Raw genomic sequence first — 18,677 nt, 5'->3', positions numbered from 1 at the left:
TGGGGGTAAGGTTATAATTAACAGCATCCCAAGGCAGAAGAATTTTTCTTAGTACAGAACAAAATGGAGTCTCCTATGTCTACTTCTTTCTACACAGACACAGCAACAATCTGATCTCTCTTTCTTTTCCCCACATTTCCCCCTTTTCTATTTCACAAAACCGCCATCGTCATCATGGCCCGTTCTCAATGAGCTGTTGGGTACACCTCCCAGACGGGGTGGCGGCCGGGCAGAGGGGCTCCTCACTTCCCAGACGGGGCGGCCGGGCAGAGGTGCCCCCCACCTCCCGCACGGGGCAGCTGGCCGGGCGGGGGCTGCCCCCCACCTCCCGGACGGCTTCTAATGTAATGTAAGAGCTTAGTTCATGCATTTACATTTGGTTACATAACAAGAGTTTGATGAAATCATTGCTGGGAAGGCTGACAGATAGTATGGGGATAACTGTTATCTGAGGATTGAACTCCGTATTTTGTTTGTAGTAGCAGCCTGCACTATAATAATAGTACTGAAGGAATCTAAGGAAAATCCCCAGAAGACTACTCCTATATAGAGAGAGAAGCCAAAATACAACTCTCAGCTGTGGAGAGGGTCCTTCATCCCTCCTGCCTCATGAGCTATGCTGTTGGAGAGCCCAAGGATCCTTGGGTGATACACACCTAACTTTGCCAGCTAGGGATGGTGAAGTGGGATGGGGTCATTCCTATAGGTCTACATGATAAACCACAGCATGGTAAACCTGCAAATAGCTGTCATCTGAGAGAGTCATGTCAGCACCAACAACCTTTCTGAGAGAACTTACTACCCCTTAAAATAACTTTCACTTCAGGACTAATTTGGCTGAATTGTGTTTGTTCAGGAATGTATGAGGCTCTGCCCTGTTGTTACAAGTTTCTATAGATTCAGAAATATACTTTAAATGAGGTCCTTTATACTTGTTCTAGTGCCACAGGTTTTTCTCAGGACTAAGGAGAGAGTGTTCAACTCTTTGAGGAGCTACTTTGTCAGTCTAGTGAGTTCGGTTGGCCTGAAAGCTAGTTTTTTTTAGCCATAATGGGAAGAAGCAGATTACTCCAGTTGGTTTCCACTGCATTATAGAAATGTCACCTGAAAATATCAGGTAGTATTTTACCTTTTGCAGTTGATGTAATTTTTATATTTTGACCGTAACTATGTGTTTCTGGAAGATATGACATCTCTGACCAATAACAATGTCCTGAATTGTATTTTGCAACTGGTGACTTGTCACTCAAACAGTCAAATTAAACACAGTAAAGGCCACAGTAGGGTAATTAAAGAAGAAAGTGGGTTTTTAAAAAATGATTATATACTCAGTTTTCCACAAAAAATTAAAGTCCAAGGTAGATTGACTTTGTTCAGAAAATAAATTATGTTGTGAGTAATCCATGCTGTTGTCACACCAATGTGAATGTTTCATAGACTTTTCTTGTTTAATCTAGAAATAAAGTGAACTACAAGACCTCAATTATTTATCTCATGAAAAAATACATGTGGTTCTGGGTCAGAATATGTAGCATGCTAACATTGAAAAAACTCAAAAATTTAATATACAGTAAATAATAAAGCAGAACATCATTTTTACTTGGTTGGTGTAATGTAATTACTTTTGCACCAATCAAAGTAACATAACGGTTATTACATGAATCTTATATCTGACTATAAATCATCTAAATTGGGATTCTCATTCAAGGTACATATTGTCTTTTCTGTTTGATGCTTTATTTTTTTCTAATATATTTAAATCATTCTACAAACATATTTCTACCTTGTGGTGAAATTGACTATTTGAATGCAACAGTTAATAGATATGTGGAACCACAAGGAAAATCCTTGAAGCCAAATACGGTGAATGGTTTTCTAATGCCTTATAACCTGTGAGAATCTATTTATTATTGAGCTATACCAGCTATGTATATAAACTATCAAAACAACTACTAAGACTTTAGTGTATTGGTGACTTTAAATTACAGAGAATATATCTGTTCAGGCTTATTCACTACTTATTCCTACAGGTAAAATCCCACTTAATAAATCAGGAATATGTATAAATAAAGCATTTATTTAAAGACATGGCCTTCCAAATGGCTGTTATTCTAAAGCAAAAATGTTCAAGGGATTTCTAAGAAAAGATATTCACCTTAAAAATAGTCATCATTTAATGAAATGATCTCCAAAAGTATGGTTATTATAAGGCCATTCTTTTTTCTTTCTGAGTTCTGTGAGGAAAAGTAATTATCATGTAGTTTGTAACATGTGTACTTTGTCTTATAATTATAATAGATGCTCATTCTCTCTATAAATACTTATTGAAAAAGCAAACAACTGATCACTGGCAAGAAAGCAAAATACAGGCAAGACTGTCCAATTTGAGATTATTCTCCTTTCTAGCTCTCCTGGCCATCCAATTCCATACATACATTTGATGTACACAAGAGTTATTAAACAAAAGAATGGTACTGTTTTTGTTTTATTTAAAAACAAAACAAGAATTTTGAAATGAAAAAGGATTCAAATGATTATCTGAAGGAAAATTTTGGATGACCAAGCATTCTATTCTCTGTACTTTCAATAGAAAGTTGTAAATTTGTAAAACAATGATTGCTTAAGTATTTTCACTATCAAATGACTTTCAGTAGTTATTTATTATAATAAAACACTCTATTAACATGTAAAATTAAGCACCCAGAATTTAGTTTTGTAAGAAGGTGACTTTAAATGACAGCACTTAGATTAGTGGGCTGGCATCTGCCATTGGTCTCTCATGATCCACTGTCCACCCTTATACACCTGCTCTGGACTTTGGGAGGCTGAGCCTTATAGGTTTCCTCCATTCTCACTGGCTCTCAACTTGGTTTGGCTGGTGCGGGCTAGTAGGAGAGCTGAGGGCTAGAGGATAGTGGGATGGAGGTGTTTATTGCCCTGATTTCCCCTTTATGTGCTTATCTTGGGCTGACTGCTACCCTCAGCTCCTGTCTCCAGCCTTGGCCACACACTTTTCTCTGTCTCTGGGTCTGGTAATTATGTGGGGTTTAAGAGGTCTGCTGTAACCTGACCTGGGATACTGCACAATCCCTATGGTTTTCTTATACCTTGTCCGTACTTTTTAAACCATGCCTTTATTAAACTCTTTGAAATTATTCGAGTTTTAGTATGCCAAGTCTTTTCTGTGGGATCCTGACTTTTACAGTTAGTTGTTCTTATTTACTCCTTCAGGAAAAAAATTCCACTGATAAACCAGTTGTACATAAAAACAAACATTTATTTAAATAATTGGATACTTAGTGAGTGAATGATTTCATAATATAAAAATATAATGCTTTATAAATGTTTAAATCATTTCCATGTCAATGAAACAAATTTAACTAGAAATATCTAACTATTAATACCATCCAAATAAGTTTTGAAAGATTTCTGGCAATCATTAATATATTTATTCTACCTCAATGGAAGCAAATGTTTTAGTTATGTCTATAAAATTATTGAATTGCTTATAGGGAATGCACAAAACAAGTTAAATATTTTATTTCAAAACATTTTCAAGAACAATTTCTTTTTACAGATGTGAATGTAAAAAGAGATATTTACCTTTTCACCAGTTTCTCCTTTGCTGCCTTCAAAACCTTGCTCTCCCTGTAGAAGAGGAATATGATGTGTATAGTAATAAAAATGATACTTATAACACATGCAATTTTTACAATAAAAATTATGTTTCAAACAATGAAAAATCAGTAATTGTAAATAACCATTTCTAACATGTAAGCTCTAAACCAATATTGTTACATAAGATTTAAATATTTCTAAATACTAAAGGAACAATTTTCTAGGGTATAAGTTACAGCTTCACCACTTCCAAGGCAATTTAATCTTGATAAGCCTGAATTTTCTCAGGTATAAAATAAGTATGATAATACTATCTTCCTCAATGGTTTGTTTTGAGAGTTTGATTCATCCTCATAGTTCATGGCAAAGACTAAGTTAGCCATTCTTCTTATAATTACTATTTATTTTACTAGATTCAGTGGAAACAGCCTTCTTAGAAAGCTGACTTCTATGGCATACCATTCTGGTAAGTGTCTTATGATGAATGAGTTCAGGTTTGAACCCTTGGGTTCTGGCTCTACCTTCGACACCAGTGCTATGCTTCTTCTTGTCCACTATGCTGGCTCAGTCACAGAAAGAAGATTGGTGGTTGGAGGGCTGCTGGCTCTCAATCACCATGATTATACTAAAAGGTGTACATCTCCCTTTCTTCATCTACACCCTCTCTGATCTGACAAGCTTATCTCCCCCCTTAACTGGTGTTTCATTCATACACTCAACAAAAGTTGACTGAGTGCCTCCTACATGTCAGGCACTCATGACAACATAGCTAGCAAGTGAATGTTGGGAACAGGTCATGTGCATCTCTCCACCCATGGAGGGCCTGGAGCATAAGAAGCATTCAGCAAGCATTTCCTGAGTGCACAGAGACAGGAGATAGAGGGTTTCTGATCTCTAGAATTTTTTCTGTAATGCCTCAACAAGGTGACCCTTGGTACATAAAATTTATACTAATTATATGAAAGGGAATGCCAGCTTTTAACTATATAGAAACATGCATGCATGTATACATACATATTTAGTTTGTGAGTATGTTTTTTATATATATATACCCACATAATTGCATATATGTTTATGATTATATAATTAAATAGTATACATAATTAGATAATATAATTAGATGATTAAATAATATATGTGTGTGTGTTACATGCATGTAATTAAATAATTATTTTTGCTTCATCTACCCTCTAAAAGTTACCAGGAAAGAATATATGTCAGTTGTTAGGTATTGTTTTTCACCACTGAATGCATGGTCTATATTTTTTTCTACCATTTTTCCTAAAATATAGACTTTAACTTGATCTGTTAATTCAAGCTGACATTGAAGCTGCTAAACGCCTCCAGTACATCAGCCACAATGTCAGCATGATGCAGCCACCACAAACAGCTGCTGGAAAGTCCAAAACTATTTCCCAGCAGATAAATCTGCACATCCCTTGGCTTGCAACTTGACTCGCAGATGCAGTACATGCTGTATTAATGGGTTTTGTCTAGAGCTGCTGTGAAGAAATTCAGAAGCTTGCCGTTTCATTGCTGCCAGTTCAATCTTATTATCTTTATTGGGCCAAGTAAATAAATTCTTTAACACAATCTGTAACTATAAATAAGTGCATATCTTTTTAAAAGATATTTTCAGCTATAGAGAAAAACCTACATGCATAGTAACTTCTGACATGTTGTTGCCAAAACCAGTAAAACATCTCCAGAGCACAGAAATGATATGCTTGGCTTTGGTGGGCATCTAATATTACATCAATAATGCTCTCTCCTGCGGCGGGATTATCTGGATGGTATCATGACAGCTGGCCCCACCTGAAGTGGCTCCCCGTCCCTCCAAGAAACTGGAATATAATGGTCTCTGTGTTTTTAGTAATGCTTGTCACAGATAACCATGCTTCTTCCCAGAAGAAGAAAGCAGCCCTGGCCGGGTGTGGTGGCTCACGCCTGTAATCCCAGCACTTTGGGAGGCCGAGGCGGGTGGATCACGAGGTCAGGAGATCGAGACCATCCTGGCTAACATGGTGAAACCCCATCTCTACTAAAAAAATACAAAAAAAAATTAGCCGGCTGTGGTGGCGGGCACCTGTAGTCCCAGCTCCTCGGGAGGCTGAGGCAGGAGAATGGCGTGAACGGAGGCAGAGCTTGCAGTGAGCCAAGATCGCGCCACTGCACTCCAGCCTGGGAGACAGAGCGAGACTCCGTCTCAAAAAAAAAAAAAAAAAAAAAAAAGTGGGGGCACAAAGGAAGTTCATCTTGTTAAAGAGAAAGATACTAGGCACAGGAAGAGGCAGCCTGGCCCATGCAAAACTCCTTGCTTATTAGGAATCCCTTGTTCTGAAAGAAAAATATTTTTGAAGAGGTAGTTGTCTACAGCATCTTTGTAATATATAATATTTTATGTCATTCTAACTATTATGTTTAGCTCTATCTGGGATATACAAAAAAGAAGATAAGCAAGAGGTAACAAAACTAGTCAAAGGGAGTACAGTTTGTTCTATTTTACATTTTAGACTCTGACTAATAAAAGCAGAAACGTTTCCAGAGCAGCTATCACGGACCCCAGAAAGCACTACTACCATTTAGTTCTTTGGAGGAGCATGTTACTAAAGCTCTGTGATAAAGCTTCCTCCTAGAATGGTCCCTTCAAGAGGGGATTGCTTCCACAAGTTCTCTTTGAAAAGACATCCATAGCTTTCTAAAAGTCTTTGAGTGAATTCAGCTTAATCAAATACAATTTCAGAATATTATGTGCAAATTTATTTTTAACACGTTAAAATTCTTAACTCAGATGAAACATTCAAGAACTCTTTACCTTTTGACCAGGGAATCCTGGAGCACCATGTAAACCATTTTCACCCTAAAAGAAGTACACAGAATAATGTTTATGATCCATAAAGATATATGAACATAGACGTTTTTGTGGTCTTTAACAAATAGCTCTAGTGTTGTGGGGAAAGGTAGCCTAATACTGAATATCTATCATGCATAGGGACTTTCCATCTGTTCCTTATTTCTCAAATCCAGGACTGTCACCTCAATTTTTAAAATAGGGAAATGGAGGCTCCGAGAGGTTTGGTAACATGTCAAAGGTCACCTAACTAGTAACTTACCTGATTGGGACTGAGGTCTCCTACAGCCTATGTTTTTCCACATGTTATTTAGTATCTCATTTCATTTTCTCTCTTTGAAACTTCTGGGAATAATATTGAAGTCTGACATCGTGCTTTCTATGGGCCAGGCACTGCTGTTTTGACAACAAAACTATCAGGCAGATAATACTGCCTCAATGAACTTCTTACAGGTCATTGCACAGTAATAGGTGGTAGACTTGGAATTTGAGCCCAAACACTTCAACTCTGCATACCTAGCTGCCTTCCTACACTGTCTTTGGAAAAAGATTTAATTCTGGCTTTAAGTGACTTCTTGCCTAAAATCGGAATTTTTTCTCACTATATATATTATATATATGTGTGTGTGTGTGTGTATTCTTATATATGTACAAGCATGTTTACTTTATTACCCATATCTGGTGATTGCCATTAGATCAATTTTGAATACATACCCAATGCCATTTAATATAAAGCAATTACTTGGAAGACTTTTTAGTTCTTCCTGTTCATCTGGTTTCTGTCTTGGGTAAAAAGACAGATGGCTTTTAGTTTCCATTGCTGGAATTCTGGGGTCATCTCTTTGACAAGTCTGGTTTGTAAACAGCACACAGGCTAGAATGAGATACTCTTGAGAGGATGTGCATATTCTCAATAGAGTTTTAGGAATTTTCCTGCTTATAGGAATTTACTTTGGCTTCTGAGTTTCCAGGTTTAGACAGCTCAAAATACGCTAACAATTTCATGGAACTGCTTTATTTCTATCAAATATTTACAATTAATTTATAAGATAACAGTTTTTAAACATTCCCTAGAAAGCAATTAGCTATCATTTATTTGAATTATTTAAGCAAAATTCAAAATCTATGAAGAAAAAAGTCACATCTTTAAACTTTAAAATAGCAATATTCTGTCTAAATCTAAGGAAATTTTTCATTATTTCATTAATTAAAACATTTTAAGGACAGTTTTAGTGGTTCTTACCAGAGATGTCTGCTACATACATGCACACATATTATTTTAAAGATTGAGGTTTTTCTTAGATTAGATTAAATTATCAAAGTATTCTACGGTAAAACAGCTATCATCACAGTATATACTAAACACTAAAGTAAAACTTTGCTGCTAAATGTAATTAAATGTTACAGAATCAACAAAATATAATCTACTTATCTATATAATAAATACATTTCTATCATTAAACAAATTGTTATAGTTTTAGACCTCAGGCATCACACAAATCTATTAGAAACTTCCAATATCATTTGATAAAGTGATAGTGAAAACACATTAAGTATTTGGTGCCAGGAAACAGTCTATGGAAATGGAGCTCCTGTTACTCATCACAGAAGTATGTCCACTTGTCCATAAGGAGCAGATTATTTTCATCAGTTGATCCAGTATAATGTTTTATATCATATTACTAGTTACATACGATCATGAGATATGGCATATTATCCATTAAAGTACGCCAATACGGTATACACTGCCAAAAATACTTTTTTGGGAAAAAAGGTTGTGATAGTATCTCCCCTTTTTCTTTGCTCACAGCCCACTCATGCACCAGGTGCTCTGGGTACTGGCACCCAAAGTCCTAGCCTGCCATATGTCAGGTTAGGATTACACCCAGATGCACTGTTAATTGGGTACCAAAACTCTCTAGAGCTGTGATATTGAGAATATGTCTTTAATGGACACAGGTTTTATGATTGTTGTAATTAAAACACTGTGTTTTCCTGTGGCCAGCATTAAATGGTCTCTGCTCTTTCTTGACTGAATGTGTTTTATAAACATAATTCTAGACTCAACGATAACTCAGTGGACATCACTGATTATCTCATAGGAAATGTGTTTATCTAAAACCTACCTTATGTCAACAGAAGAAGTCTTTCTTTATGCTCCCTCTGACACCCAGGTTTATAGTTCTAGGTGCCACAAGCACTTTGAGGGCAAATTTAATTCTATTCATAAAATAAATATCCTCCTAAAATTACTGGAAGGTACACATTAGTTTTCTTTTCTGAACTCCTGCTGCCTCTCCTTCCTCAAAATTTCAGTCCAAGAAGAAATAAGATGCTTCTTCTTTGGCTTCCAATCAATACTTTAGTTCATTATTGAAAGAAAATCACAATAAATGATTCCCATAGAAACCATAACTTTCAAAACTTATTTCTGAGGGTTTTTTTTTCATTACGGGGTTTTCTATGAAAGGACTTGTATTCCTTTTCAGGTACAAATTCAAACTACAGGAAGATAAGTTAATAAATATGTGTAATATAAAGCAGGCAAAATCTAATGTTGCTGCCGATAGTATCGTTGCCTGGGTTATTACTATAACACATAGCATGTCTTTAACTTCACAGGACAATCAAAAAGTACCCTTTCCAAAATTCAAAATAACCTCTTTGAGAAGTTTTTGGGACAAAGTTAGGTGATGTTTAGGGTCAGCTGGTTGCTTTCTGAAAAACTGATCACTGGATTTAATTTTACGTCCTTGTAATCACTGCATATTTTTCAACAGTAAGCATAGCTGGTCATAAACTATAAATTATTAGTTTTCTTGATTCTTTTGACATTGGAAGTAATGTATTTCTTATTGTGCAGGAAACATATATTGTCTGAAGGACATTTGATAAAAAAAATCACATTCCCTAGGGCTATAGTTTGCAAACCCAGTATAAATGAGACCAAGCAAATAAAGATAAAGCAAGCAGGGAAACAAAAAAATTGCAAATAACCAGCATTTGATCCAGAAAGTAGAAAGTTACATACTATCCTGTGGTGATTTTTTTTAACAGTTAGACATTCAGCCTTTGATTAAAATGTCCGAGATCCTATTATAACATTTCTGTACTGAAAAAATTGACCTATCATTTTACTTAGAGCATATTTTTCTAGGAGTATAACCTTCTATATAAATTTAGTGTCCACTTGAAATATATCATACTTCCCCATTCATTAGTTCATATTTATTAAAAGAAAATTTACTTAAGTTGAATATTGCATGAAATAACTAGAAGAAATATCAGAAGTGGAATGCCAGGATTCTAGGACTAAAACCAATAAAATAGGCAGAAAAAAGTAAATCTGATTTTGATTTTGTGTATTACTAAGGTGACCTCTACATTACTGACTATAGTCCTGCTTTATTCAGCCATAATCTTTAGAAATTGAAATATTTTATGGTTCTTAAACTGTTGGCAGTCCATTAAACGTTTCAGGAAATTTTTAAAAACCTATATTTTTAAATTTTTTTCAGATATCCAATCTGAATGCTTTTATTTCAAGGGGAGAATTTTTTCCTTCTATATTTTGGGACTTCATTCTAAGAAATAAATTACCAAGTTAAAAATATATATATAGCAAAGAATTTAAAATCTCAAACTTTTTGAATTCTTTATATTTTTTGGATCCTTAATGCGGCTAATGCATAGGGATATTTTAATCACATTAATGCTCAGGATAAGGCCAATTTGAAACTTTAATCTTAAATGAATTAGATCCTATTATTATTTATTCTTATGGGTCAATACATGTCTTGATCATGGTAATGTATGTATGGGTGGTTAGTGGTAGCTAACAACATCTACTCTCTTAAAATCTATTATCCTGAGTGTATATGTATATGTGTGTATGTATGTATATACAGGTGCATGTGCCTAGAAAACAAGCAGGATGGGCATTCTTAAATTTAAGGACAAATATAAATTCATGCATTTATGTATAACAACTCCACCAAAGAATCTGATGAGGCACCAACTCTATTGAAAGCTTCTTAAAGTCAAATACTTTTGCTGCTTAATTTGCATTGTGGAGAGCAAAGAAAAAAAATTCACTGTGTGGTTACTGAATAAATGCTTTCTGAACCCAAATTAACCTTCCCCATATTTTGCCCATCAGTCTTATTTCTTCTGTCTGCAATTACACAGAAAAAAAGTTATAGGTCTTATACATGACATCCCTTTGTGCCACTATCAAGCCTTCTATTCAGTAAACCACTCATTTTTCAAATGATAGTTTGGAGTCTCTTAATACTATGGTCCCTGTTCTCTGGGCACACACGGGTCAGTCATGTCTTTTAAAATGTGGCTCTCAGAACTCAGCACATCATTCCAGAAATGGTCTTACTCACATAGAATACAGAACAGGACCATCTCTCTCTCTCTCTTTCTCTCTCTTACACACACACACACACACACACACACACACACACACACACACACTTTGCTGTGGCTACTATACAGTTTTGTACTTCTATTAATACAACGTGCTTCTTTTTAAAACTAAATTGTTTACATATGCTACATTTGTAGTCAACTACAATCCTTAAGTTTTCCTGTCAAAGGGATGTTATTTTACAATCCTTTTTCAAATTAATTAAATACAAGTTGTACTAAGAGTTATTCAAATAAAAAAACAAAAAGAAAACCCAAGTAATTTTGAAATGTCTTGGAGAGGTAAAAGTTTCTTCCTACACATAGCAAAGCTAGAGAATTAAGCCTTAGTCAATGTTGTAGAACCCACTACAAAATCTGGGCTCCTATGTAACTGTGATGATTTCCTGAAAGTGTCAGGCACAAATGTTTGGGCTTTTCACTTTATTATGAGACTAACTGTAAGAGAGTCTTTAAACCAAACTTAAAACTTCATAAAAATACTACAGAAATACTTATTTAATGTGAATCATCTACTGAAATATCTGAAGTATAGTGATTGACATCTGAATACAGAATTCTAACAAGTGAAAGATGATTTAAGATATAAAGAGAAGGACAGTGTCATCAGTCAGCTCCTAATTGAGGACAATGATATAGCAGTAACTGAAAACTATTTCCTGCCTGGAGTATTCCTCGTGATGAGTAATTTATAGTTCTATTCCATATCAATTACTTCTACTGGACCTTAAATGTACTGAAGCCATTGGTTACTTATCTTTAGCCCTGAAGTAAATGGTTATGAAGATATGGAGAAGGAACACACCCTAACAATGTTGTAAGAAAGTTAGGAGATTTTCAAATCTAGTTTGGATAAAAAGAAAGCAATATAACTTGAATATTTGTGTTTGAGAGAGAGGGAAGAGCATACTTTCTCCAAGAGAAAATGGAAAGCAAATTCTGGAGATGCACACACTTCTATTATATTTAATTCTAGGAAGCAATACCTGTAAACTTTGTTGTGCAAAGAAGAGATTCCCTTGTTTCCCTAAATTATGCTTCTGTAGAAAGTACGAAGGACTTTCACTGAAGTGTTGCTGGCATTGGGGTGCTTTTCCGATCTTTCCTCAGCGAAGTTTTCTAACAGTCATTCTCTATTTCTCTTCTCTATTTCTGGCTTGGGGCTAAGTCCTCGAATTCTGAACAACTCAACAAACACTTATCCAGAACCAGCCAGGTACCATACGCTGGGTCAGTTGCTGGGATTAGAGATGAGACAGACCCCAAGTCCTTCTACTCCAGGAGCTCACATTTTAGCAGGGTGTATAGACACACTCTACATTGGTGATATAAATAAAGTGCTATGTGAGCTGAGTGGATAAGCTGTAATTTTGCCTGGTGGCCTGGGAGAATTCATGAAAAAAATGCATGTGTTTTGAGTTTAATAATCTGAAAATGCAGTGATGGAGATAGAAAAGAAAGATACCAATCATCTGTGATCATCTGCTCAAATCTTCTAGTCTTCCCTAACAGGTTCATTCAATACCTTACACCGGCTTTGGCAGTCCCTGATGTGTCTGGCTAAAAGCTCCTTTAGATAGAGCCACTTTAAGGAAACTCTAATATCTAAAATCATAGATGTCTTTATAAAATACCAGTTATATGTTTAAATCCACTGTTCAGTATCTACACCAAGAATAAAATAATTAGCCACTTAACTATGCAGAGAAACACAGAGTGTGTGAGCTTTCTTATGGCAATATTTTAATATTTACGTGCTAGAAGCTGGTAGTACATTAAACCAAACAGGAACATTAGCAGACTAGGTTCTTGAAATCTGACTGTTTAGCAAATAAAAGTCAAGTGCCTGGGTGCCAGATACATGGCATGTGGTGAGCTTGTCATCCATCTGTTGTGTTCCCTGCCAACTGCTCTACTTGGGGTGTGAGTGGAAGGCATTAGAAGGGAATAAGAAACCATTAAGAAATAAAATCAGCTGCAGAGTGAGCAAGTTTCTTTTTCTTTTTCCTGTCCTTCTATTACTTTGTCCTTCTTATGTTTCTGCTTATTTTAGTGCTATATTGTATCAATATATGTCTATAGATAAGACAATTAAATGACAGTTATTCCATGTAAGAGCAATAGTTTTTCACTGATAATTCAAGTTTTATTCTCCTACCTTTAACAAGTAAAGCCAACAAGTAGGCTTACAAAACTGTTTTCTTTGTGGTCATTTTTTTCTATGAATACTAATTATGATTAAAAATTCAATCCTGTGTGTAGATTTGACTATACCTTCACTCATTAGAGAATTTTCTAAATTACACAGATATACAGGTGATTCTCTGCTTAAGAGGTATTTTTCTCTAAAGTGGAAAACATTCTTGTTTTATAAAGCCTAACAATTTCATAGGCAGGAAGTATTCCATTGATAGAATAAAGCTAAGTTGTCTTTTTTTTTCCTCCTCATTTAATGGCCTCAATTTCTATAATAAATTGTCACATGCATTAGGCATTTTAAATTATGTTTTAAACTTAGGAAGTCTAAAATTAAGCACAGAAAAATTAGGTGAGGCTAGAAATATAGAGAGGAAGCCAAATGGCTTAAAATTCTCTAGCTTTTATACTACTTGCCTATAAGTTTCTGAGTCTCTGAAGCATTAATGCTACATCTGGACCAGCACTGTTAGAAAGTTCATTATAATTCACAACAGTGATTGGCCTTGTCTGCACTTACATAAACTGTAACAGCATCTGCCTTTATTTTCTGAAGCTGCAGTCTTCTCATAAAATGTCTTTTTAGGGAAAATCAAGATTCAAAGATCATAGTCATTTCATTTTCCAGCAGAAAAGAAATACAAAGACTGTTAGGGAACAATGGATCTGCCTCATTCAGTCTCATCTCACTGCAGTGCTGAGGGCTTCAGAGTTTATGGTGAAAAGACCCATCATACAAAGCATATCCTCATATAATGATGATAGTTAGTCCAGCTATTTTTAAGACATGCAGCTTGGCCACTCTCTCATCATGTTATCAGATGTACTTCTTAAGTGCTTTAATATATACAGCTTTTTTTACTTCCAGAAGGTTGATTTATTTTATATTTTTATAAAGCCATGGTACTAAGTTAAACAATTTTGTTTTTGATAAATAAATTATATATATTTATTTGGTGGAGAATGTAAGAGAAAAATTTCTACATTAGGTGTTGCATTAAGGTTAATCTGGAGAGTGCCCATGATTGAGCTGCCTGGACGTGGGCATGCAGGGTAGATTAAGAATCTCCAGAGAGTCAAGCGCGGAATGTTTGAAAACACACTTCAAATGTAACCTGTACTTGGAAACCAAGCAAATTTTTTTCCATGATACTTATTTTGGAAGGTAAAGCTAGACAAAACCCTCTCATTTGGTGAAAAACCATATGCATAATGATTCTTAATAGGTGAACACAATCTTATGAAGGTGGGGGAGTCAGAATCCCTAGGGTCAGATACAGTTTAAAAGGGGTCCTTGGATTTAAAGGGAAGGGACACAGCCCTCCTTGGAGCAGGATGTCCGAAGCAAACTGCAGTTCACTCACTAAACTGGCAGGCAAACAAATTTAAGATCTAATTCAGACCTGCCTGTGTAAATGAAATCTGAATATTTGAGGAGCTGTCCAGATGAGGTAATATGGCAAAGGGGCAAGAGCTATGGATTTCCATGGATAGAGGTTCAAATCCTGACTCTACTATTTTCTCCGTACCAAGTTAGGGGAAGTTTTTAATTTTTTTTCCCTCTCTCTCTCTAGATCTGTTTCCTAATCTGTGAAATAGTGACAATAAATCTTACCTCACAGGGGTGTTGTAAGGAGTGAATGAAATAATGTGAAGAAGGCTCCTGATAGCATTTAGCATATAACACTTTTTGAGTAAATGGCTGTTATTATTATTATTGTAAAAGTTTATATTCTTGTACATATTTATAATAAGTGAGGAATTCACTGGTTTTCTGACATCTAGTTTGTTTTAAGAGGTCAAGGTTACATAAGATATGTGACTTTAACATTTTCCTGTAAATATATTTTCAATAACTAATATAAATTCCCCCAAGTGTTTGCTTCTTGGCCTTTTGGCTAAGATGAAGTGTATACATTCCTTCAAATAAGTTCTAATCTGGTCCCACAGTAAGGCTAGAATAATAGAATCATCAAACTGTTTATTGTTAAAATTATATCTGTTGTTTACCAAATATTTACATACCAGGTGCTGACACTTTTATGAATAATCTTATTTAATCCTTAAGATAAAGCTAGAAGTAGATGCAATATAATTCCTGTTTTATAAAAGAGAAAACTGACATTTAGAGAGACCAAGTGTCATGCTCTAAATTAGAGAGTAAGATTTTGAGCTGGAATTCAAACCCAGGCAGTCTAACTCTGAGTATTTAATATTAGCATAGTAAAGTAATGATGGCTATGATTTACTTCATACTTACTCCATGGGGAGCAAAATTAACTTAGTAAAAGTTTTCCTATTAAAATAAACATTTTAGGGCAAATTTAAAGTAATTTAGTAGATAGAATATGGGTTTTAGCATAAATTAGGCTCTATATTTGTTCAATTTTTACTATCACATTATTAGGATAAGATTATTGGACAATAATTATTCCTACTTAGAAAAAAATCCCCACTTCTAGAGAAATATATCTTTTATGTTTAAATACATAAGTGAAGTATGAAATGAGGCACTTTTTTGTTTGAAGTATTCAGGTAATGAAAACAAACATGATTTGAGTGTTATATTTGGGGGCAAAGTGGGCAAAATTTGCTCATAGTGTCCAAATCCTCATCTCATTTTCCTACTTCATACCATGAGGATGCAAGGTGTGAACATGTGTGTGTGTGTGTGTGTGTGTGTGTGTGTGTGTGTGTGTGGCTGCATTCATGTGATCTCATGCTTTGAGTCATTCACTTCTCTTGGAAATGGAACCATCCAGTTTACTTATTTTGATTGACAGAGCCTTCTGTCCATCCAAGCTTACCAGAAGTCGCCAGCTACCTAATAATACTGCTACACAGAACTGATTTTCTTAAATGAACTCATAACAGAACACTTACCGAATCTCTTAGGCAAAATCATAGCTGTTCTGAATAAATGTAAAGGGGACAGTTATTTTTATGCAATGTTTAACAGTAAGGCTTTATTAGATTAGAACTAATATTAGATTAAGAATGTCTACTGCAAGTCTGTACTGGGTGATAAGTATTACAATTACAAAAGAACATAACTAAATGCTATACTTCATCCTTATTAGAGTCCTCATGACTCCACATTCCATAAATACATTTTATAAAATTGTGTTGTTTAGTGTACTATTTTTATCCTTGGTGTCAGAGGAAAAATGCCACCACAGTATATTAATACATTGTTCAGAGTCTTGACTTAAAAGAATTTACTGCTATTACCTAGCTAAATTTCAAAGTGTAGGTTTATTTTAGAATAATGTGATTTATATGCAAATCACTTAATTTATTGAAGTATGACATTGATGTAAGTGTAAAGTATAGTTAATGTACAAATTAATACTTCATACTGCTCAGAATATGCTTCACTCCATTAATATAAATCAGTTTCCTAGCTTAAATGTTAACTTTAGAAAAAAATCTTCACTTTGAGAATATTAGACCTGAGATACATATTCTATGGTATTGTACATATGTTTTTGCTCCAAGTGAAACAGTTAAACAATTCAACCTAGTTATTTATTTTTTAACAGTACTCTTAAGTACTCCTGATTCTATGTAAAGCAAAGCAAAACAAAACAAAGAATTATAACTGCTGACAAGCAGAGTCAAAGTTAAGGGGATGCTGGATAAGTTACTCTGGAAGATGCACATATTTCACGTTGAAGCAAATGTGGGATACAAAGCCCTGAGGTGACACACATGTTAAGAACTGATAATTTTTCTCTGGAAATTTACTTAGAAAAATCTAACAAACCATTTTTCTTGTAAAATAACAGAAATATTTCACCCCAAACATAAACCTCATGAGGATGATTTTAAAATTTTGAAATTTAAAAAAAATTTTACAATTTATTAACCTACTGTTAGATAATACGCTAGTAACTTTCTTGTTTTCATTTTGTATACATTCTTTAGAATTATTTTCAATAAGTGGTAACCTGTGGATTATAGAAGCGAGAAAACACTATTGAGGCGGCATTTTTTCACTCAAGAGTGTCACACCCCTTTAACAGCTAAATGAAGTGACAAGTTAGAATCATAGCTGGCACCACCAGGGACTGAGTCCTTGGGAAGAGAAAGTGGTCAAAGACTCAGTGCTTCTATAGGTATTGGAAGGATATTAACCACTAAGTACGGTCTCTGATGATGTGTGAATCCGGGAACCAAGAGTTAAACGTAATCTGTTACCATATTTAGCACCACTGGAAGTTACATGAATTCTCTAACTGTCTGTGAGACCCTTTAAGAGTAACTCAAGTAAATTAGACCCAGAAGAAAACTGCTTGAGGAAACATGAAAGAGTATTTGCCAGGACAATTTTGCCATGGTTTTAGAACACCATAAAAACAGCTGCTTCTTTATGATATTAGCTTCTTAAGTTCTCTGGGAACAGTGTCTTCACACAGACACACTCATTAACTGATTTTGCAAGACTCTCTCAGTCACCATTTTGACCAAATGGGCACCAAGGGCTGAGGATTTTGGTTTTCAGAATGACTTCATCTAACTAGATTATCAGTATTTTCCTTTATATTCACTGAAGTTTTACTTTAAGTGAAATATAGGATGAATCACCACACAAGATTCTTTCTACAAAAGTGGACTTCTGGGAAAAGAAACAAAATTTTTAGTTCTGAGTAGTGCCTGTCTCTGAAATACTGACTTGCTCCAGTTCCTTCACGTTGCCCTAAATGCCCTCTCTTTTCTAAGAAACTCTCTCTTCTTCTAGAGAATTTCTTGGCTTGCATACTTAACTTTCTAGACTTGTTTTCTTACTATCATGGCCCTGGATGGCAATTCATTTGATCAGCTTTTGACAGGATTGATTCTACTGAATGCTTCATCTAGTCCTTATATTGTCAGTCTGTGGACATCACCTTTTCAGGAGTTGAGAACCTGTTCCACAACCAATAAGTAGCAGTTTGCACCTGGTTGTCATACATAAGGATCCAAGGGCTGTCATTTTGGAGTGTTAAAATTAATGCTATTTTATACCAACCTTGATAAATTCTGTTTTAAAGCATTCAAAGGGAATTCTATCCTGCTATGCCATAATTTATTGTGTAAATGTACGTAAGTCTCACGTTACATCCCACAATAAAGTCAAACAATCTATTTTATAGCTCAAGCGCTTCGGTGATTCTGCAAATGTTTTAAAAAAGATTCCCATGTTCAGAATAATTCAAAAACTCCTAATGATCTGAAATCTAAACAATCAGATTATTGTGATGCATTTTAGAAAAAGATTGGTAGAATAAGGGTACAAGGTAAATTTAGATTGGGGCATCTCTTTAGGTGATCAAGTAATATTCTCTAGAGAAAAGATATTTTTAAAGAATTAGAACTTTGAACAAGTATTTAAAGAAGCTTTTATTTATGATGAAGAATCGTCAATTAATGTCATCAGTAAGCTTATACAAGAAGATAGCAGCCCAAATAAACATCAACTTGCAGCAAGGTATTGTTTTTCAATAGAGTTTGTTGGACTTTACTGAGTTTAACAGTTACATTCCTATAGGAGTAAAGAATTTGCATATCAGACTGAATAATTTATGAAAGGAAAAAG

General features: G+C 34.9%; 1 protein-coding gene across 8 annotated transcripts in view; it reads right to left on the bottom strand.

The window, feature by feature from the left end:
* Nucleotides 1-18,677, bottom strand: part of COL19A1 (collagen type XIX alpha 1 chain) — a 345,913-nt gene that overhangs the window by 245,995 nt on the left and 81,241 nt on the right. For all 8 annotated transcript variants that reach the window (NM_001858.6, XM_047418188.1, XM_011535437.3 and 5 more), the window contains 2 exons: nucleotides 6,434-6,478; nucleotides 3,604-3,648 (listed from right to left, as the gene is read on the bottom strand). In NM_001858.6, coding sequence (NP_001849.2) covers nucleotides 3,604-3,648; nucleotides 6,434-6,478 — 90 coding nt within the window. The remainder of the gene's footprint in view (nucleotides 1-3,603; nucleotides 3,649-6,433; nucleotides 6,479-18,677) is intronic.

Source organism: Homo sapiens, chromosome 6 (assembly GCF_000001405.40).
Source record: "Homo sapiens chromosome 6, GRCh38.p14 Primary Assembly".
Classification (NCBI taxonomy): domain Eukaryota; kingdom Metazoa; phylum Chordata; class Mammalia; order Primates; family Hominidae; genus Homo; species Homo sapiens.
This window is presented reverse-complemented; position numbering and strand designations above follow the sequence as displayed.